We start from the raw sequence: 22,200 nt of genomic DNA on the forward strand, positions 1-22,200 counted from the left end.
TGTTTTTTAAAGACAGGGTCTCACTCTGTCACCCAGGCTGGAGTGCAGTGGCACGATCACAGCTCAGTGCATCCTCAACCTCCTGGACTCAAGCAGTCTTCCCATCTCAGCCTCCCAAGTATCTGGAACTACAGGCACATGCCACCACACCCGGCTAATTTTGTTTGTTTATGTTTTGTAGAAGTGGGGTCTAACAATGTTGCCCAAGCTAGTCTTGAACTCCTGGGTTCAAGTGATTCTCCTATCTTGGCCTCCCAGAGTGCTGGGACTACAGGTGTGAGCCACTGTGCCCAGCCAGTAACATCTATTTTATAATGTTGGGGAGGTTGTTGGAGTAATCTCATAGATCCCCCAGTGTCAAAGAACTTTTAAAATTGCCGATTAATAATAGATATGTATTTCACCTTTTTGCATTAATTGCCTAGAGACTTCTGTAATCTATTTAGGGTAATAACTATCTTTAAAAACAAAATCAAACACAACAACTTGTTCTTATGTTTGCCTTTGTATTCCAGAAGGATAAAAGTTTTAAATTCTTTTTATGGACAGAGGTGTTCAGGTTAAGTTCTCAGAGAATTGAAAGAAGAAATCTGTTTCTTAGAGAAGCTAAAATAGTACTTTCAAAAAAAGAAAAGAGGCCGGGCGTGGTGGCTCACGCCTGTAATCCCAGCACTTTGGGAGGCCGAGGCAGGCAGATCACTATGTCAGGAGTTCAAGACCAGCCTGGCGAACATGGTGAAACCCCGTCTCTACTAAAAATACAAAAATTAGCTGGGCATGGTGGCACGTGCCTGTAATCCCAGCTACTCTGGAGGCTGAGGCAGGAGAATCCTTTAAACCGGGACCTGGGAGGCAAAGGTTGCAGTGAGCCGAGATCTCGCCATTGCACTCCAGCCTGGGCTACAGAGGGAGACTCCGTCTCAAAAAAAAGAGAAAAGAAAAAGGGAAACCAAAAAGCCCCTATTTGCTTATCACTTCCAAAGGAAATAAATACTCTGTAAGATAAGTAGGCAGAAGGATGTGCTCCCTGATGTATAGTGCTGGAAGTATGCCAGCGGCAATGTTCATACTTAATAAAGTGATGTCTTTTGTCTTTTTCTTCCCCAGCCTTCTTAGATTCTTCAACCTTGCAGCTGTTTTTTGACCTGTATCATTCCATCCCTCCTTCATTTTCACCTCTGGTGAGTCAGGACTACCGTTTCTTAAAGCAAACCTATTCATAGAAGATAGCAATGGTGAATGAACCTTATATTCGTTTTGTTTTATAAAATTATACAAGTAAAGCATAGAAATACTAGGCTAGTTATCTAGTCTTTTGAGATTAAGCTTGTAGCCTAAAGGTTCCAGCCATAAAGTCTTAATTATTTTTAAATTATTCCTGTCTAAAGGCCAATTCCTGCAGATGGTCAAGCTCTTTTGGGTCTCATCGTGTATCTGACTTTATGCTGTTCCTCAAACGGCCACAGGCTAGCACCTGGGGATTCACCTAATACTGTCTAGTTGAACTATTAAGATTGTCCTGACTCAGAAAACCCCTTAGGTGTACATTAGATTGTCATAAATGGAAACTGTGATGAGAAGGCTAATTTGCATACTTACCCTGAATAACATTTGAAAGCTATTGGGAATGGTGTATTTCTCTTTTAAAGCCATAATTAACCTAAAACCTCAAAATTCATTCACGTTCTAAAATACTATTGGTCTGGTATTTCAGATTGTTGGTGTAAATTACCGGTTGGTGTTATACACAAAATATATAAAGAAGACACAGTGAAGTAATGAGTGGTGTGCATAGTGTTTGTTCAGTAGAGGACTTTTCTGGCCATTGTAGCACTTCTCCAAATTAATGTAGACCTTTGTGTTCGCTGAAACATGATTTCAGTGTTGTCGGGTGTATCGTTAAGGTTACTGCAAGAAAAGGTAGCACAGTCAAGAGGGATGATTAAGAGAGTACTACTTGCAAAGGTATGGGTAAAATTAAGGGACACCAGCACGGGGTGGTGGTGCATGCCCCTGGGGCTGGCAGTAGTGGGGAGCCTCAAAGGGCAAGTGAAGGAAACCTGGAGAGAGTTGAAGCTGTGTCTTAGAGGAGGGCTGGACAACAAGAACTACAGCCATCACTAGAGAAACTCTGCCACTGCATAGCCAGCTGGATGGTCGGAAGAGGGGTACCCTGTTCCCTCTGCCCTCTAATCTCCTGCTGGTACTTTCCATTGGTTGAAGCCAACTAGAAGCCAGAGGGCAAGGGAGCTTGGCTGCTCTCCTCAACAGAGGTCAGCCTCCTAGGGAATAGGGCAGGGTGGAAAAGGGTCGAAAGCAGATCTAGAGGGGGCAAACAGAGAATGTAAATATCTAACACAGTGGGAACAGAGGGAAATGTCTTCAGGGATAAAGCTGGGTTGTGTTTTTTTGTTTGTTTGTTTGAGGCAGAGTTTTGATCTTGTTGCCCATGCTAGAGTGGAATGGCACTACCCATGGGTTCAAGCGATTCTCCTGCCTCAGCCTCCTGAGTAGCTGGAATTACAGGCATGAGCCACCACGCCCGGCTAATTTTATATTTTCAGTAGAGACAGGGTTTCTCCATGTTGGTCAGGCTGGTCTCAAACTCCCGACCTCAGGTGATCTGCCTGTTTCAGCCTCCCAAAGTGCTGGGATTACGGGCGTGAGCCACCACACCTGGCCAAAGCTGGCTTTTTTAGGGCCCAGATGTGATATGCTTATTTCTTTTTTTTTTCTTTTTTTTTTTCGTTTTTTTTTGTTTTTGAGACGGAGTCTCTCACTGTTGCCCGGGCTGGAGTGCAGTGGCGCGATCTCGGCTCACTGCAGCCTCCGCCTCCCAGCTTCAAGCGATTCTCCTCCCTCAGCCTCCCAAGTACCTGGGATTACACGTGCCTGCCACCACGCCCAGCTAATTTTTTGTATTTTTGGTAGAGATGAGGTTTCACTATGTTTGCCAGGCTGGTCTCAAATTCCTGACCTCGTGATCTGCCTGCCTCAGCCTCCCAGAGTGCTGGGATTACAGGCGTGAGCCACCACACCCGGCCGATACGCTTATTTCTTTATAGCATGTAATGACATAAGCACATAACATCTACATGTCAAACTCAGATTAGCCAAGAAAACTAAATCTAAAACTTTAAAGTATAAATTGCTCGATATTTTTAAGGGTGAAATAACGTATCTCAGCAAGAACAAAGATGCCATTGGAGTGGTCAAAGGAATTTGTACCTAAGGGAATTTCCAAACTGAATTTAATGGGCTGCCGTGGTCTGCTTGGATCTATGTTCTTTTCTTTTCTCTTTTTAAAATAATGTTGCTTCAGATATCCTAAAGAAGGATATTGTAGGAGGTGGAACGTTTCTGGTGAAAGTAACTGTACAGTCTTTTTAATCGTTGTGTTTGGGTTCTGCCCTGCATTTAGGTATTATCCTGCTTGGTACAGATCGCTTCAGTCAGAAGATCCCTGTTTAACAATGCAGAGAGGGCCAAGTTTCTCTCTCATCTTGTTGATGGTGTTAAACGAATACTGGAAAACCCACAGGTAAGTTTATCTGAGAATTTACATATGTATAGGATTAGTGTATGGCCAGCTGTTATGAGTCAGAAGGAAATCCATCCCAAGGCCCAGTAAACAATTCAGTCTGTTCTTCAGGGAAGACTGAAGTGAATCTCTATTTGTAGGCCAATTCTGAGATTATTTGCCCAAAAGAGGAGCTTATATCCTCCCGCTTCAGAAATGTAGGAGTTACAGGAAAGAATCACTTCGCTATAAGGAAATAAGGAAGAAGCTAGTCATTTTTCCCCCCAAGAAGTTAAGACTCTAACATCTCCGGGCACAGAGGCTCACGCCTGTAATCCCAACAGTTTGGGAGGCCAAGGTGGGCAGATCACTTGAGGTCAGGAGCTCAAGACCAGCCTGGCCAACATAGTGAAACCCTGTCTCTACTAAAACTACAAAAAAAATTAGCCGGCCATGGTGGCACGTGCCTGTAATCCCAGCTACTCGGGAGGCTGAGGCAGGAGAATCGCTTGAACCCGGGAGGCAGAAGTTGCAGTGAGCCGAGATCATGCCATTGCACTCCAGCTTGGGCGACAGAGTAAGACTCCGTCTCAAAAAAAAAAAAAAAACTAACATTTGGTTTTTGATTTTGTTTACCATTTTTAAAAAATGTTTATCGGTAACCTAAGTATATAGGGCTGCTTTTAGGTGGGAAGGAAGATACTTCTTTCAAACGTTAATTTCATAACTCGATTGCCCTTTTTGTCTTTTGAAGTCCCAGTGATTCAGTATTTTTTTGAAAGTATCACTTCTCTATACTAGAAGAAAATTAAAAAGCAGTTTATTTCAAAATATACTCAGTTTTGTCCCTCTTTTTAAAATTCATTTATTCATTCAACAAATTACATTGAATACCTACTCTGTGCCAGGGATACACGGGTGAACAAAACAAAGTCTTAGCCCACATATGCTAACAGAAGAAGACATATCAGGAAACTTACAATTAAATATACTGGTAGAATAGATTTTAAAATAGCTGTAATATTTGCTATATCATATAAATACTACTATATGAATAAATTACAGTAAGTGATATAAATATATGAAACATTTGTATAACTTTGCTAACTATCGGTTAGTTGTGCTGAATGATCAGTTTGACAGACGTGGAAATGAAAATTTCATTAGATTTCCTTTGATTGGTAACAATAAGAAAACAAGTCAGTCACGTCTTAGGTCGTGCCCACTTCTGCTATAATGAGCTTTACAGCCTCAGTGTGATCCTCCTGGGCTTCTGTTTCAAACTCTGTCCATTGAGGCTAATAATGTCATCTCATGTGATTATTATTGTGAACATATGAGATAATAAATGTGACTGTCCCTTTTCAAAGTGACTTTAAAAAATTGTTTCTGAACATTATGCAGACGTATCATTCTGAATCATGACCTGCAGCCCAGAAGTTAAAAAGTAGATTCTACCCCTTCCCCCATGCCATCTCAAGTATACATCATTCTTGAAGTATGTTAAGGCACATTTTACATTTTATTTTTCTCCTCTGCTACTGCCAGAGTTTATCAGACCCAAACAATTACCATGAGTTTTGCAGACTACTGGCCCGATTGAAGAGTAACTATCAACTGGGAGAATTGGTAAAGGTGGAAAACTACCCTGAGGTCATCCGATTGATAGCCAACTTCACAGTGACCAGCCTACAGGTTTGTCTTTGATTACTTGTGTCTTCCTTCCTAAATACTGGAATCTCTTGCTTGTTGGTTTTAACCATGTAAGAATATATTTTTTTTTCTTGGCAAAGGTAACCATAAGTCCAGTATAGCCCTACAGAGTAGTTACTATTGTGGCCTGTGATTTACATTTACACAAGTGCAAGTAGTGTGGGGAGAGGAACATGTGGGAATTACTAGGATAATATTTAGATTCATCCCAGAGAGAATTAGCTCATAGTCACCCCAAAAAAGCCAAGGTCGGAACAGGGAGCTAGACAGAAGAGTAAAAAGAGAGTTGATGCCCTCTCTTTCTTAGTCATGTAATATAGAACAATGGGTCTCAAATTTTATGGCTTGTATCACAGTCATCTAGGGGACTGATGAAAAAATATAGATTCTTGAGTCTTATCCCCATAATTTCTGGTTCAGTAGGTCCAGGGTAGAGCCTTGGTGTTTCTAACAAGTTCTTCAGGTGATTGTCATGCATACTAATGGTTGAGACCCACTTACATATGGCTTTCCTTATGGTAAGGCTTACACAGCCAGCATAGAGTAGCCCTTCTCATTAGATGCTTAATCTTGAAAATACTAATAAACACATTAAACTAGATGCCATACACAGAACAAAGCCCACAAAAGTCTATCCTCTTTTTTTAAAAAAAAGAAAAAAGTCTTTATCTTCTGTGTCAGTGGCATGGGACTAACACGTACAGAAATGAAAAATATGCCTTCTGCTTTTCTACTTTTCTTTAGCACTGGGAATTTGCTCCAAATAGTGTGCACTATCTTCTGAGCCTGTGGCAGCGGCTGGCAGCCTCTGTGCCGTATGTCAAAGCCACAGAGCCCCACATGCTGGAAACTTACACTCCTGAGGTCACCAAAGCCTACATCACATCCCGGTTGGAATCTGTGCACATCATACTGAGGTAAGGAAACTTAGCCTCATTCATTCCCGCACCAGTGGCCTGTTGTCACACTTCCTAGAGATCAGACACCCCATTGGCAAAGAGGTACTCGAAGCGTGTCTCATTGGAGCCACTACTGTTCATGGTTCTTCTTCCTTGTCAGCAGAGTAGCATGAGAGCATAAAGCCTGATAGAATAGTCTTGTCTCTTGAACATTTATATTCTATTCATATTCCCCCTTTTCACTGTCCATAGCAATATCTTTGAATAGAGTATATCCATATAATGTTTGTCCTTGCCGCTGTTTTTCTTTCAATGTGAGAAACATTTATAAGATATAGATGATAAGAATTATGTGTAACTTATAGGTGCTTAATGTGAACTCCTAAAGAAATAAGTGGATAAAGATTACACAATCTAGTTATCAATTCTAATTCCAGAGCTAGAACACATAAGAATTCTAAGCCACTGATCACTGATTGCTTTACATTCATACATGGTTTCTGTCTACATTGACTTAACTGAACCAAAATCCCGTAGCTAAAGAAATGTCAAGCCCTTTCAAAAATTACCTATATTAAATGAAGTTATAGCCCTGTTTAGGTAGCTTTCTTGTTTTCACTGGCTGTTTGTCAAGAGAATTTACTTGGAGTCTAAGGGTCTGGGGCCTTTTTAAGTTGGATTCTTAATTTGCTTAGCCCCAAGTGCATTGAATAGTCATGAGTTATAGTCTTAACTGTTGATGACTTGAATCAGTTCAAAATCTGAGTATTCATGAAGTTCACCAGCAAGCCTTCTTCTGTCACCTCCATAGCTTCCACTCCTGAGGATTCGGCTGGCTTCAGTGAGGCATTGTTGGGGAGTGGTTACATGTTTGTAGGCTCTGGGGCCGGATAGCCAGTTAGTAGCTCTGTACTCTTGGGCAAGTTGCTCCATTTCTGTATTTGTAAAATTCAAATAATAATAGGCCTGCCTCATAAGGTTCTTACAAGGATTAAATTAATATGACCTGGCACAGTGTGTAGCACATGGTAAGCACACAGCTAGTTTTAGTGCTGCTGCTCCTGCTGCTGCTGCTGCTGCCATTATCATATTGCAGTGTAACAACAGAAGAGCTCCTCATTGGACAAGATGTTAAAATCTAGGAGCTGGCAGATAAGGCAAGACCTAGTACAGGGCCACAATGCCTTGTCTGCAATTCCAAAGTCAAAGATGTGACAAAAGAAATTTCCTCATCAGTTTGGCATTAGAATTCACTTGTTACAAAACCGGACGGGAGTTGGTATGAGACCATTTGTAGTTTTTTTAAAATCCTACTTAGTATGACCATTTATAATATTCATAAGTTTTGCTACAGGAACGTTGAGTTTGATGTGCCACAAAGCCCATCAAGGGTTTTATATGATATGGTAGAAGCATCATACTGCCTTCCTCCAATTTGAACAGTTCTGAATTCCAAGACACACCTGGCCACAATGGCCTCCCACACAGGACTGTGTACTTATCCTACAGTTTACTATAGTCAAGAACAAGCGAAAGACTAAGAGTCAAGAGGTCAGACAGTTGAGAAGGGCAGGACTTTGAGGTTTAAGGCAGAAAAACATTAAGAGTTGAGAATTCAGATTGTAAGATTTGACACCAACAAGCAGAATATACCTAAGGGAGACTGATGCTAGGGCGAAGACATTGGCCTTCTGCCTCATTAAACATTCTTCCTTGGTTAAAAGTAATGTCGGGATGTAGACCTCTACAGTCAGAAATGGTGGCTAAGTGAAGAAGTCAGAGAGCTGCTATATTGGGCAAATCAGTAGTCATATTTTAAGAGAGCTGCCTTCCTTCTTCCCTTGGGAATAGAGATGGCCTGGAAGATCCCCTGGAGGATACGGGGCTGGTCCAGCAGCAGTTGGACCAGCTGTCCACCATTGGGCGTTGTGAATATGAGAAGACGTGTGCACTCCTCGTGCAGTTGTTTGACCAGTCGGCCCAGTCGTACCAGGAGCTGCTACAGAGCGCCAGCGCAAGCCCAATGGACATTGCAGTGCAGGAGGGTGAGTGTGCAGCGTGCTGGGAACTCTAGACCTGTGAGGAGATGTTGTCTAGTACCCCTTCGCTCATTGCCACCTCTTTCCTACCTCCCTGCAAAAGGATTCTTTCATCATCTGTTGTCTCCATATGCACAAGAATCTTTATGAATGAATAAATCCCTCAAGGGACTAGGGAAGAAGAACTGAAATCACATCTGCAGTGGGATTTTGTTTTAAGAGATGAGGTCTCGCTATGTTGCCACGTGGGCCTTGTACTTCTTGGCTCAAGTGATCCTCCTGCCTCAGCCTCCCGAAGTAGCTGGGACTACAGGCATGTGCCACCACACCTGGCTCCTGTCTGCTTTTTAATGCCCCACAGCACAGCTGGGACCAGGCCAAGAGGTTTATGACTGCTAAATCAAGGGCCAGGGGAAACAGGGAGATAAGTACAGATAGTAACCTGGGCTTCCTCTTTTTACCGGGCCTGGCTGGTGTTTGTAACATGGCACTGTGCCCAGCTTGGGTGTTTTTAACTCTAAGGAAATACTACACTAAAAATAATGGCCTTGTCTGATACAGGAACATTGGTTACCTAACGAATTTCCCTCTTAGCATTGCCCTTACCAAAGCAGAGAAGTAGCCATTCTCTGTAAGAAAAGTAAGACTTCATGGTTTCACCACAGTGTTCTTAAGATTAAGGAAGTTCAGAGTGAGGAATGTCTTCAAGAAACTATCACTGGAGGTGACACTGGGTCTGTCTCCTGCTGCAGGAAGGCTGACATGGCTGGTTTACATTATTGGAGCAGTGATCGGTGGCCGGGTTTCTTTTGCCAGCACTGATGAGCAAGACGCCATGGATGGTGAGCTTGTCTGTCGGTAAGTGCTCCCCACAGAAGCTCTCCACTCTGCCTTGCTGGCACTTCTCCACTCCCCGATAGGGTCCTCTCCACTTACAGAACGTAATCTGAACATGCTAACTGCCCATGAGACACAGCTTTCAAGGCTTTTGTAAGTGCCATGATAACTCTGCCTATGATCTTTACTTTAAAATAAAAAACCAGCAATAATTCAGAAAGGAAATAATGGATACGGAATTAGGAAAACTAAAGCAGAGATTCTCTGTTAGGTCTTTTTACGAATAGTATCTCAGAGTTAGTAAAATATGGACTGCTTTTGCCATCCCAAAATAAGTCTAAAAGGAAACTGCAGTTCTTTAAAGTTCACCAGAGATGGAATTACAGAGTTCCTACAGCCTTTCAAATCTCTTGGCCATACATTTCAAGTTATTTTTCATCTGTGCAATTCTCATTTTATCAAAACTTTTTTTTTTTTTTTTTTTGGAGATGGAGTCTCGCTCTGTCACCCAGGCCAGAGTGCAGTGGCGCTATCTTAGCTCACTGCAACCTCTGCCTCCCTGTTCCAGGTTCTCCCGGGTTCAAGCGATTCTCCTGCCTCAGCCTCCCAAGTAGCTATGATTACAGGCATGCGTCACCACATCTGGCTAATTTTTGTATTTTTAGTGAGACGGGGTTTCACCATGTTGGCCAGGCTGGTCTCGAACTCCTGACCTCAGGTGATCCACCTGCCTTGGCCTCCCAAAGTGCTGGGATTACAGGCATGAGCCACCGCGCCCCGCCTTCAATATATATATCTTCTGAAAATCCTCATTTGTCTCTTTCCACCCCCATTTTGTTTATCAGATGCCCATTTGCCCAGAGGTCCCTTAATCCTGACAAAAGTCTCCGTAGCATTTTCCCACTGGCATTTTTTGAAGAGTTGAGCAGAGCTTTAATAAGAATGAAATCTAATGCCTTTCTGATTCTGCAGCCGAGTTCAATACTGTGTGTGTCATAATATAAATTTAGTTCAAACAATGTCTTGCAGATTGGTTCTGAGCTTGAGTGTAGCAACACAATGATGGAGTCTCATTCACTCATGATGTGTCACAAATAGTTAACTATTCCCACACTCAAATATCAAATGACTCACTTATTATGACATCTGTATTCGCATTCACTCACTTGCATTCCAGTATCCTTTCTTTTGGGGAGAAGGTACAGAGAAAAGAGATGAAGTCACAGGTAATATTTCTGCTAGTAATCCCTGGAAGTGTTACCTACCTGTGAACATCATCCTTCATGTGTCTCCAAAAAGATTGAAAACTCCTGGTCTAGTCCTGCCTCCCTCATTTATGTAGATGAATTTGGTTGCAGGAGGTTGCTGTACCCAAGTACAGGCATATACGACCATGTCAAGATAGCTTGGGTTGTCTAGAGTAAACAGGATGTCCTGCTGTTGAGAGAATCATTGCTCCTCTTCCTCCAGGGTGCTCCAGCTGATGAACCTAACAGATTCTCGTTTGGCCCAGGCGGGTAATGAGAAGCTAGAGTTGGCCATGCTGAGCTTTTTTGAACAGTTTCGTAAGATCTACATTGGGGACCAAGTGCAGAAATCCTCTAAGGTAACAGCCTCTCAATTGGCTCCCCTTAGTTCTCACTTCTCACTTGTGGGATTGCTGATGGAGGGAAACAGTTGCTGATAGTTCACATAACCTCCAGATTTCACGTAATAGGACAGTCCAAATGTTTTCTCTTAGTCTTTAAATTCTGGGAGAGTCATCAAAGAATTGGGCCCATTTCTTTAGTGCTCCATATGCTTAACAAATGGCCAGTCCAAACATCTGTTGTTCTCCCACAAATGGGCAATTCTTAGTCTCCATGCATGAATTAATATTCAGAACAGAAGATTTGGGCTGTCTTTTTGCAATTTCAGGATTGAAAGGGACCAGTAAGATTGCTCAGCATCTGTCCAGTAATACTTGGAAACTAGCTTATCCCTTCAGTAAAGTCCTCTCTGGGATTCTTGTCCATTTTCTTCCACATCTTACCCATGAGTGTGGACAAAAATAGTACCAGGATGTGATTGTTGTAATTCATGTGTTCTGGTTACTTTCTCTTCTTAACACCAGCTGTACCGCCGACTCTCAGAAGTTCTGGGCTTGAATGATGAGACCATGGTCCTAAGCGTCTTCATAGGAAAAATGTAAGTGTTTCAGCTTGCCACCAGCAAGAGTCCTTTGCACTCCTGTTGCAACTGTAAAATGTGATCTTGGCATTGTGCTGCCAGTGCCTGGTATTCCAGCATTGATCGTTTGCGTCAGAAAATTGTGCATTTGAGTGTGTGACAAGCTGTGCTTAGAGATATGGCCCGGCCCCAGAGCATTCCAGGCTTGTACAGGCAAGGATTTAATTTTGTTCTTGCAGAATCTCCTCTTTAGCCTCTGGAATCACAGGTGAAACTCTGTCATGTCATTAGCAAAACAGACCTCCACCCCAGTAATTGCTGCTCAGCCCCTCACCCAGTTGCTGTGCTCCAGGGATGCCCAGCATAGGCATTCACTTTCTGTTGCTGATTTCCTCTCGTTATCCCCTCGAAGGGGAAAGCCCCACTTAAAAATGGGCTTATTCCTCCCAGGAAACATCACACCCTTTAAGAGTGTTGAGTCTCCAAAATCTAGTGCTGCTGTTTGAACTGTCTTCAGAGTTGGAGCTCCTAATTGGCCCTTTTTTATTTTTTTTTTTACGTTATACCCCTTTGGTTACATTTTTCCCTTTTTAGGAGCTCAATTTATCAAAGCACACACTAGGAGCCAAATATATTACCCAGGGCTGTGTGCAGAGTGACATTTTGCCTCCTACCAACTGTCCCAACCCTAAACACTCATATCCATGAGCTGGTTTAATAATTTAAGATGGAAAAAGCAAAGGGGGTCTAAAGGACTCTGCCAGCCAAGAATCCAGAAGCAAGGGCTACTAGAATTCTGCAGCTGACAGTGGATGGTGCAGGTGCAGAATTGCATACGTCTGCATGTTATCACTGCCGCAGAAATCTCTTACCCTTGCTGCAGAAATCAGCCCTGGAGTGCCCCAGAATTCCAAGGGCCTGGGTATGGGCCAGTGTAGCTTTGGAACCAAGTAGTGAAGATTATCTGAAGGATAATTTTTCTAGTCAACCAAATGTAAGTACAGAGATTTCCTACCCATCTTTTTTTGTGGTCGTGATGTCTGTGAATTGGTGGTGCAGATGTGTGGTGACTTTTGATGAATGACTTTCTTCTTCTCCCAGCCCTCAAGGAAACCAGCAAATCAAAAGGGTCTCCTGCTTTTTTTTTTCTTTTTGTCCTCCAGCATCACCAACTTGAAGTACTGGGGCCGTTGTGAACCAATCACCTCCAAGACACTACAGCTTCTCAATGACCTGTCCATTGGATATCCTTTTCTAAGCTAACTTCTGTGCACAACAGAAACTGGCATGCCACAGTCTTAGAATCATGGCCTCCTGCTCTTTCCACTTCAGTTTAGCTGTAGTGTGTACTCACATATCTTCCATTTTCCTAGGAGTCCAAAAAAACGCCAATGCCCATGCAGAATATAGGAATAATTTCAGACCCCAAAAATGAGCTGACACCCAACCTGATAGTTTAGTACAGATTTATCCCTGTCTATTCCTAAGTTCCAGAAGTGCATAGTAGCCCCATCTCATAGGTACATACTCTGTGTGACCAAGGTTTTAGTATCCGTAGTAGAGACAAACTCCTTCTTAGGTTGTCCCATCAGCTGGTTGGTAGAAACATCCTGATTCCAAGCTTTGTGATTGAAGTGATGACTATGCTTCCTCTTGACTTGAATTAGGTCTGCTATAAAGTTTGAATTGCTCTAGGGCAGCTTTTCACAACCAGGGGTCCACAAGAAGGGTAAACCCTGTAAAATTATTGAAGTGACTTTCTTCTCGCTTTTCCAAATACTGTATATAGCTAGTACCATTCTAAATAGGAGAGAAGTTCATTCATTATACACAATATATGCCTCTTAGGCAGGAGTTTAGGGCCTAATTCTCCCTTGGAACCCCTGCTGAGAAAAGCCCTTTTAGACTATTCATGATTATTTGGGGAAACTGCTAGGTTTATTCTATTTTCTTACAAATAGGAGTTTGGTATAGGTGTTTCCTTTTTTTTTTTTTTTTTTTTTTTTTTTTTTTTTTTTTTTTTTTTTTGAGATGGAGTCTTGCTCTGTTGCCCAGGCTGGAGTGCAGTTGCGCGATCTCGGCTCACTACAAGCTCCGCCTCCCAGGTTCATGCCATTCTCCTGCCTCAGCCTTCTGAGTAGCTGGGACTACAGGCACCCGCCACCATGCCCGGCTAATTTTTTGTATTTTTAGTAGAGGTAGGGTTTCACCGTGTTAGCCAGGATGGTCTCGATCTCCTGACCTCGTGATCTGCCCTCCTCGGCCTCTCAAAGTGCTGGGATTACAGGCGTGAGCCACCGCGCCCGGCCAGTATAGGTGTTTTCTTACTGATTAAATAGTGCTTAGAAGAGAATGCATTTTTTCATATTTGGCAGTGGTATACTCAAGTATTTTTTAAAAAATAAGATATTTGGGTGAACTGTCCTTTATTCTGGAAAGTTTCCATCTGCCTTAGAGTTTCGGCCTGCTTCACACTTTCCTTGACCTTCTTCCTTTGTCTTCACGTACAGTAGCGTAAGGAAGCTAGTGAAGCTTAGTGCGGTACAGTTCATGCTGAACAATCACACGGTGAGTGATTTTAGCTTTTTTTCCTGGCCCTCCTACCACCCACACATACACTTTCTCGACACATAAAGGAGATATGTAAACTGAGGTCCCGGGTATTGCTACAGCAAAGACGGTGGTCCTGATTCCCACGATACTGCCAGATTATACTTACGTCATCAGAGTGGCTCTTTGAGATCCAGATGATGTGAGTTATGGTGAAGTCACCTACTGCTACTCATACTGCAGATAAATTAGTAGTAGTGACAACGGTAGCCTGCCTTCAAAAAAAAAAAAACCTTCAGATCCTCAAGGAATGACTACATAACCATTGGCTTGAAAGGGCTCAGTAATTCTCTGATTACTGGCTTGCATTCTGCCTCTAACTCATGTTTTTACCTTTAACTTCTTTTCTTTTTTTCAATAGAGCGAGCACTTTTCATTTTTGGGTATTAACAATCAGTCCAACCTGACAGACATGCGGTGTCGGACTACCTTCTACACAGCACTTGGGCGTCTCCTCATGGTGGATTTAGGTACCGTAAGAAATCGTAGTGGCTCATGAAGTCATCTGGCACTCTTCTAAATTTTTATTTGAGGACTGAAAACTAGATGTTGGGGAGGCCTTTTCTGTTTTTTCAACAGTAACAAAACTATCTGAAATAACAGCCTGATTTCACCAAGAACAGATCATGCTGTCGAGGTCCTTATAACTGGAAGAGAGTAACAGTCTGCTCCTGAAGTTTTCATCTGATACGCAGTGGCTTTAAAATTCTCTTCACATTCTTCGGGTGTTAAATAAGGGAATTGAGATTCCTAAATGTATCTTTTTGGCCAGATAACTTCTCCACCCCACAATGAGGTGTAAACCCACTTGAAACAGTCAACACCACTTTTTATTATCCAGTTTTCTAGCACAGATGAGCCAGAAGGGCTTTATCACTTTTGTAGCAGTAGTGGTGATATTAGCAGTTTCAGGTCAGTTAATAACTAAAGCTCAGTGGTATTACTCTAATTTCGAGCTGTTTAAATTTAATCCTACTAAAATGACATAAAACCTTCTAGGTTTATGAGAGATGACTTTTTAAAAAATTAAGTGTGAATGAAACCTCCGTACCCATTAAAGTTTGAGTCTCATCTGGTTCTCATGCACAAGCTTCAGTCCTTTCTCCACTGACTCGCTAATTCTCAGCAAGGATAAATAAATAACATAGTACCTTACACACATATGAATCTCTTGATACTGTGGCTCAGCATCAACAAACCTAGCCTAGACTAGGTGATTTCTGTTGTCATCTTCTAGTTTAAAAATTCTGTTTCTATATATACATGTTGCTCTTACATTGCTACTAATACCTGTTGGGATAATAAAGGGACCCCCTTGAGTTCCCCTGGGTTTGCTCCTCTTTCATCCCATCTTCCCATATATGCACAGCTTTGAATTCTTGGTATTGGGGTTACACCCTGGGATGTTTCCTTTACAGGAGAGGATGAAGATCAGTATGAGCAGTTCATGCTGCCACTCACAGCAGCATTTGAGGCTGTGGCCCAGATGTTTAGCACCAATAGTTTCAACGAGCAGGAGGCAAAGGTGAGTGAGTCTTTCACCCAGTAATTAATCAGCTTCTGGTTTAGGGCAGTCTCTGATTGAAAATCGTGCTTGACTGTAAACTATCCACTGCCATAGCTTTTTTTAATGTCTTGGACTTCTAGGGTTTTGGAATTGCAGAACCAGTATAGATTTGTAAACTTCTGTTTTTATATTACAATGTATTTACTTAAGTAGTTCTTAGGATTTTTTTTTGTCTGAGTTTTCAAATATATTAGCATAAAGTTGTTTACAGTTTTCTTACTGCATTTTTAATCTCGGTTTTATCTTTAATTGCATCCCATTTTCATTTTTAATACTGCTCATTAGTGACAAGTTAGGTTTTCTTAAAATTGTGGTAAAAAACAGAAAGTTTACCATCTTTACCATTTTTACATGTACAGTTCAGTGATGTCAAGTTTCTACATTGTTGTGAAATAGATCTTCAGAATCCATAATTTTAATATGGAACATTTTCATTATTCAGTTTTTTGTGATTTCTAATTTCCATTGAGATTTCTTCTTTGACACTTGAGTCACTTAGAAAGGTTTAAGAATTTCCACATATATGGGTTTTTATTTTTGATTTTTTTTAGAGACAGAGTCTGACTCTCTTGCCCAGGCTGGAGTACAATGGCATGATCCTAGCTCACTGCAAGCCTTGAACTCCTGGCTCAAGCAGTCCTCCTGCCCCAGCTTCCCACGTGGCTAGGATTATAGGCACGAGACACGATGCCCAGTGAATTTCCACATATATGGAATTTTAAGTTCTTGTTTTCTAGCTCTTAGAATTGTCATTTCTTGATTGTTGCTTTCTTCATCTTTTTACTTCATACATACTGTTCTCTTGACCTGTATAGATCTGTGTCCAAATCAGAAGACACCAGGATGTTACTATTGGTAGGACTTTTTACAGTATTCCTCAGGGCACCAAGGCTGAATGGTAGAACTACCAGCTAGCCAGGGTATTGCCAGAAAAAAATGCCAGGCTTTACCTAGCATTCTAAAGCTCTCCTTTTTCATCTTTAGCCTTTTCTTTTTCCATCTACAAATCAGCAGGGTAGACAGAAAGCAACAACACTTAATGCAACCCTCTCTCCCCTAATTATACTTGTATTTTAGAGTCTGAGATAGGTACCATTCAAAGCTTGGGTTATTGTGGAACATATTACCAACTTTAGGCTAGAGTATCAACCAATATCAAGGATTTAGGGATATCAGTGAATATCAGCCCTTTTTCCCATTATATGGTATTAGTTTCATGTAAAGCAAGTAAAATTAACCAAAAGAACAACCTTGGTAATGGACTACAGCTGTCACCCACTTCTTTGTCATGTCCCATGTAAAGTCTTTTAAGAGACTGACCAAGTCTTAGACTGGAAAACTGAGCTTGTGGTATCAGCTTAGGAGAGAACTGTTTGCTTACAAGCAGACTGTTAACAGAAGTGATGTCGTTTTTGCCAAACGTGTCAAGATCCCCAAATGTACAACCTTCTTGAGCACATTTTGTTGTTGTTGTTGTTCTGTCTCCACGTTTGGAGACAACCCCCAAACTATGATTTTTATAGTAGTTTTATTGCTGTTCATGTCCCAAGTAAAAGTTTTATTGAGAGAGTGAGTATTGGATTTGGAGTCTTGGTATTATGTATGAGTCCTGATCTGGACCCTCCTGCTACCTAGCAACATGACTGGGGGAAGTTTTTTGGCCTCTTTAAGCCTCAGTCTCTTTTTCTGCAAATGGAGAGTACTGATTAAACATAGTCTTATCTAGATGGCCCACCCAAAGAGAGAGGTGCTGTGTAGACTCCCCTTTGTCTTCCTCCTGGCAGGGCCTGCATCTGACTTCCTTTAGGGTATATATGGCTCTTCTACCTCTTCTTCTTTGGGACTTCTGTTTTTCTTTTTTGCTTTTTTCTGGCTTTTTGAGTTGGTTTCTTTGCCGTGTCTCTCTCTCTCTCTCTCTCTCTCTGTCTCTCTCTCCGCCCCCCACCCTCTCTCCCCCTCCCTCCCCTCCTTTCCTCCCTGGGTGGACTCAAAGCTTTTTCACTTTTTACATGTGATGTATTACTTCAATGTCTTAAAACCTTATCAGCCTCTATTTTTGCTACGAACCAGGAACGTATTTTCTTGGCAAAACAAACTTCCAAAGCTAATTTTCTTGGCATAACAAACTTCCAAAGCTAACAAACTTCAAACTTCCAAAACAAACTTCCACTGCTAGAATGAAAATATGCCATTCTAGCATAGAAGATATTGAATCCGAATATTTGAGAAGGAGTATATGTTGAACTGTGAGAGAAAGAATTTGATGATACATGTGTGGAATCCTCATCAGATTGTTACAGTTTTGTCTTTTCTTCTATTTTAACACATTTTTGCCTTCTACTACAGCGAACTCTAGTTGGCCTAGTAAGAGACCTGAGAGGGATCGCTTTCGCTTTCAATGCCAAGACCAGCTTCATGATGCTCTTTGAATGGATGTATCCTAACTCAAACTAGGAGCACACTACAGCCTGCCTTAACTGGAGTGTGATTGGGTGATAGGGTCCAGAGACGGTGTAGGGGGAAGGGAGGGTAGTGAGGCAGAGAAGATGAAGAGTTAGCCAGAAGGCCTGCATGTGTCCTGGAAGCCACCTTATGACAGACATAAGGTTGTCTGAGATTAGAACATGAATGAAGTAGTCTCCCAGTTTCTCTTTTGGATCTCAAATATAAATGCCTGTGGAACCATATACCACTGTAGAACTGTTGGTTTTGCTATATTTAGAGAGATGTTTCAGTCTGCTGAAAAAAATAAAAAGGCCAGGCACGGTGGCTCACGCCTGTAATCCCAGCACTTAGGGAGGCCGAGGTGGGCGGATCACGAGGTCAGGAGATCGAGACCATCCTGGCTAACACGGTGAAACCCCGTCTGTACTAAAAAATACAAAAAATTAGCCAGGCGTGGTGGCGGGCGCTTGTAGTCCCAGATACTTGGGAGGCTAAGGCAGGAGAATGGCATGAACCCAGGAGGCGGAGCTTGCAGTGAGCCGAGATCGCGCCACTGCACTCCAGCCTGGGCGACAGAGCGAGACTCCATCTCAAAAAAAAATAAATAATAATAATAATAATAATAAACAGCTTTTACAAATTAGGAAGTCTAACTTTACTGACTTCATACCCTTGTGAAGATTATTTCAAATCCAGGTGCCTCTTTAATAGTTATGTAAAGGAAATGAGCTGATCCCATATAATACCATAGAAGTGATGAAAGGACAAATAACAGTATGAAATACATCATGCTCTTCAGAAGAAAGGCCCTATGTAAACTAAAATGTATTATGAGATGCCTTTCACAGGTTAAAGAACACAAAATCACTTTAGTATCTTCTGGTTAGAAAGACTCCAAGATTAGCAAGCAAGAGACAGGAACTTAAAGAACTGTAGTTTGACAAGTTTTTGCTTGGCTAGTGCTGAAAAACTATTTTAAATTCTGTACCTTTCTGGAATCAGAAATCTTTCCTTAGCTTCTCATTTACAGATATCCATCCTATATGCCAATTCTCCAACGGGCAATTGAGCTCTGGTACCATGATCCAGCCTGTACTACACCTGTACTCAAGTTGATGGCTGAATTGGTTCATAATAGGTAAGCAGGAGGCAGAGCTTGCAAGGGCACATCTGCCCTGTTATCTGAGAGAATTTGCTGTATCTAGTGCTTTGGGCAGATTGTGGGAAATAATAAGATTCACTACTGCATTTTAAAATTCGAAAAGTTTTTGTGTTTTTGTTTGTGTGAAAGAATAGTATTCCTAACTACACAAAACCATAGTCAACTGCAGGAAATAAGTCACTTTTTTTGGTTTGTTTGTCTTGTTTTTTTTGAGGCGGTGTCTTGCTGTCTCCCAGGCTGGAGTGCAGTGGCACAGTCTCGGCTCACTGCAAGCTCCATCCCCCTGGGTTCACGCCATTCCCCTGCCTCAGCCTCCGGAGTAGCTGGGACTACAGGCACCCGCCACCACACCCGGCCGATTTTTTGTATTTTTAGTAGAGACAGGGTTTCACCATGTTAGCCAGGATGGTCTCGATCTCCTGACCTCGTGATCCGCGTGCCTCGGCCTCCCAAAGTGCTGGGATTACAGGCGTGAGCCACTGCGCCCATCTAATAAGTCACTTTTAAAAAGAGTCTCCAGTGGGGCATGGTGGCTCATGCCTGTAATCCTAGCTTCTTGGGAGGCCGAAGTGGGCAGATTGCGTGAATGCAGTAGTTCTAGATCAGCCTGGGCAACATGGTGAAACCCACCTCTACAAAAAATTAGCTGGGCATGGTGGCACACAACTGTAGTCCCAGCTACTCAGGAGGCTGAGGTAGGAAGATTGCTTTAGCCTGGGAGGCAGAGGTTGCAGTGAGCCAAGATTATGCCATTACACTCCAGCCTGGGTGACAGAGCAAGACCCTGTCTCAAAAAAGTAAAATAAAAAGAATCTCCAGATGTCTACTCTTAGGAGAAGTAAATTTGGCAACCAAGATTCTGATTTCCTGCCCACAGATAAGAAATTAACATCTGGTAATGGTGCCTTGTCCATCACATTTCATGGTTAGAGACATTGAGAAGGATATGATAGATATTAGAATACCCTTTCTTAAGAAAGGTATTTATTAGAGAGGTTGTGGCAGGATCAATAAAAATTTACTTTTAAAAAGTGAGCAAGATTTTCAAAACAATTTAAGGACAGTGAAAAAGAAAAGTCTAGCACCTTAGCTTTCCTAGAATTTCAGGTATGGGCATTGGTCTCTCATGGCGGTCCTGAGAGAATTAGTAAGGTTTTTTTTCTTTATTTTTATTTTATTTATTTATTTAGTTAGTTATGTTTGATCCGGAGTTTCTCTCTTGTCGCCAGGCTGAAGTACAGTGGCGCAGTCTTGGCTCACTGCAACTTAACGCCTCCTGGGTTCAAGCGATTCTCCTGCCTCAGCCTCCCACATAGCTGGGATTACAGACATGCGCCACCACGCCCGGCTAATTTTCTATTTTTAGTAGAGACGGGGTTTCTCCGTGTTGGTCATGCTGGTCTTGAACTCCCGACTTGAGGTGATCCGCCCACTTCAGCCTCCCAGAGTGTTGGGATTGCAGGCGTGAGCCACCAGGCCTAGCAGAATTAATAAGTTTTAAAACAACCTTATGGAGTGGGTAATATTTAAAGAGGCTATAACCTCCCAGGAGACTTATATTCAAGAGTTACTCATTTATAAAATAGATACTTGAGAGCACTTACTCTTTGCCAAACTTTCCTAGCCACTATGCCAGACAAAATCTCTACCCTCTTTGATGTTACAAATGGTGGGGAAGACACACAATAAAAACAAGTATGGAAGATCTTTCCAGTGATTAAGTGCCATGAAACAAAATAAAACAAGGCAGTAAAATAGAGGGGAATTGAAGGACAGGAGGGTCAGGGAAGACCTCTCAGAGAAGGTAATATTAACTAGGATCTAAATGACAAGAAAGATTCTGGTAGCCCTGCAAAGATAAGGAGTCTTCTAAACAGAAAACATCTGCACGAGTCCTGAGATAGGACAGGCTTGCTGGGACTTGTGGCAGGAGCCTGGTTGGTGGGGGGAGGCTGTGGGAGCAGGTCAGACCAGTGAGCAGAGCCAGATCATCTAGTGCCTTCGCACAGCAGTAGTGAGGAGTGGGCATTTATTCTCATTGCTGTGGGAAGCCGCTAGAGTGTTTTCAGCAAAGGATTAAAATGATCTCATTTAAGTTTTTTAAAGGCTACCATGTGAAGAATGGGACTAAAGGCAGGTAAGAGTAGAAGCAGAGAGAATGTAAGGGAAAGGTGGATTTGGGGTTTATTTTAGAGTTAGATGTTGATGGATTCAGTGTGGTGGGGGGGAGGAAGGAGGAAGGACTCCTGGGCTTTTGAGGTCTTACCAACTTGAATCTAATAAAGCTCATCAAAATGTGGAGCAGACAAAAGAGTCAGGAACTTAAAACCAAGATGGTTACAAATGGCCTTCTCTGTCTGGCTTCTTTTGGACCATTCCAAGTCCCTATGCATCTTTTCTTCATATAAAATGGTAACAATGCTTTGGCCCCTCTCCCTCAGTTGCCACTGAAGCCATAAAGGTCCATGCCAACTAATGGCTGAAGGGCTCTGCATTAGTATCAAGAGGCGACGGGTAGAAAGTATACTTTAATCAAGGCCGGGCACGGTGGCTCACGCCTGTAATCCCAGCACTTTGGGAGGCTGAGGCGGGCGGATCACGAGGTCAGGAGATCGAGACCATCCTGGCTAACATGGTGAAATCCCATCTCCACTAAAAATACAAAAAATTAGCTGGGCGTGGTGGCGGGCACCTGTAGTCCCAGCTACTTGGGAGGCTGAAGCAGGAGAATGGTGTGAACCCGAGAGGCAGAGGTTGCAGTGAGCCGAAATTGCGCCACCGCACTCTAGCCTGGGCGACAGAGTAAGACTCCATCTCAAAAAAAAGAAAGTATACTTTAATCAAATAAAATTGAGAATTTTCAAATAGTAATTTTATCTACTGCTGCTTTTTTTTTCTTATAAATGTTTTTAATTTGAGCAGCAGAATCTGAATCTAGCATGTTGGTCTTCAATATAGAAGCTACTTCATGGTTAAATATCTATAACTTGGTTATTCTCATATTAGGATAGGCAATTGCTTACCTTAATGTAAATGCAGGATCACCCAAGGTACTCAGATGAGAGCCTCAAGTACCCCAGTCTTCCAAGAAAACACCTCTGACTTTTTCTCCTCCTGTGCTCTCTGCTCAGGTCCCAGCGACTCCAGTTTGATGTCTCTTCCCCCAATGGCATCTTACTCTTCCGAGAAACCAGCAAGATGATAACAATGTATGGTAAGTGCTTCAGATAATCATGCCT

The 22,200-nt window shown here is 42.3% G+C and overlaps 1 protein-coding gene across 4 annotated transcripts in view, besides 1 other annotated feature; it reads left to right on the forward strand.

Annotated features, from left to right (window-relative positions):
• Positions 1–22,200, forward strand: part of XPO7 (exportin 7) — an 86,924-nt gene that overhangs the window by 57,001 nt on the left and 7,723 nt on the right. For 3 of the 4 annotated variants that reach the window (NM_001100161.2, NM_015024.5, NM_001362802.2), the window contains 15 exons: positions 1,108–1,181; positions 3,422–3,541; positions 5,069–5,215; positions 5,978–6,150; positions 7,984–8,177; positions 8,924–9,029; positions 10,479–10,614; positions 11,122–11,195; positions 12,341–12,421; positions 13,682–13,745; positions 14,149–14,257; positions 15,206–15,312; positions 17,701–17,789; positions 18,830–18,937; positions 22,093–22,175. In NM_001100161.2, coding sequence (NP_001093631.1) covers positions 1,108–1,181; positions 3,422–3,541; positions 5,069–5,215; positions 5,978–6,150; positions 7,984–8,177; positions 8,924–9,029; positions 10,479–10,614; positions 11,122–11,195; positions 12,341–12,421; positions 13,682–13,745; positions 14,149–14,257; positions 15,206–15,312; positions 17,701–17,789; positions 18,830–18,937; positions 22,093–22,175 — 1,665 coding nt within the window. Of the gene's footprint in view, positions 1–1,107; positions 1,182–3,421; positions 3,542–5,068; positions 5,216–5,977; positions 6,151–7,983; positions 8,178–8,923; positions 9,030–10,478; positions 10,615–11,121; positions 11,196–12,060; positions 12,172–12,340; positions 12,422–13,681; positions 13,746–14,148; positions 14,258–15,205; positions 15,313–17,700; positions 17,790–18,829; positions 18,938–22,092; positions 22,176–22,200 lie in introns of all 4 variants that reach the window. The other variant, NR_156173.2, reaches the window with a different exon arrangement.
• Positions 11,215–12,282: an enhancer, noted in NCBI's record as "VISTA enhancer hs783". NCBI's record gives its function as "enhancer in: limb[4/14]" and the evidence as "EXISTENCE:transgenic organism evidence [ECO:0001131][PMID:17130149]".

The sequence above is a fragment of the Homo sapiens genome, chromosome 8 (assembly GCF_000001405.40).
Source record: "Homo sapiens chromosome 8, GRCh38.p14 Primary Assembly".
NCBI classification, from domain to species: domain Eukaryota; kingdom Metazoa; phylum Chordata; class Mammalia; order Primates; family Hominidae; genus Homo; species Homo sapiens.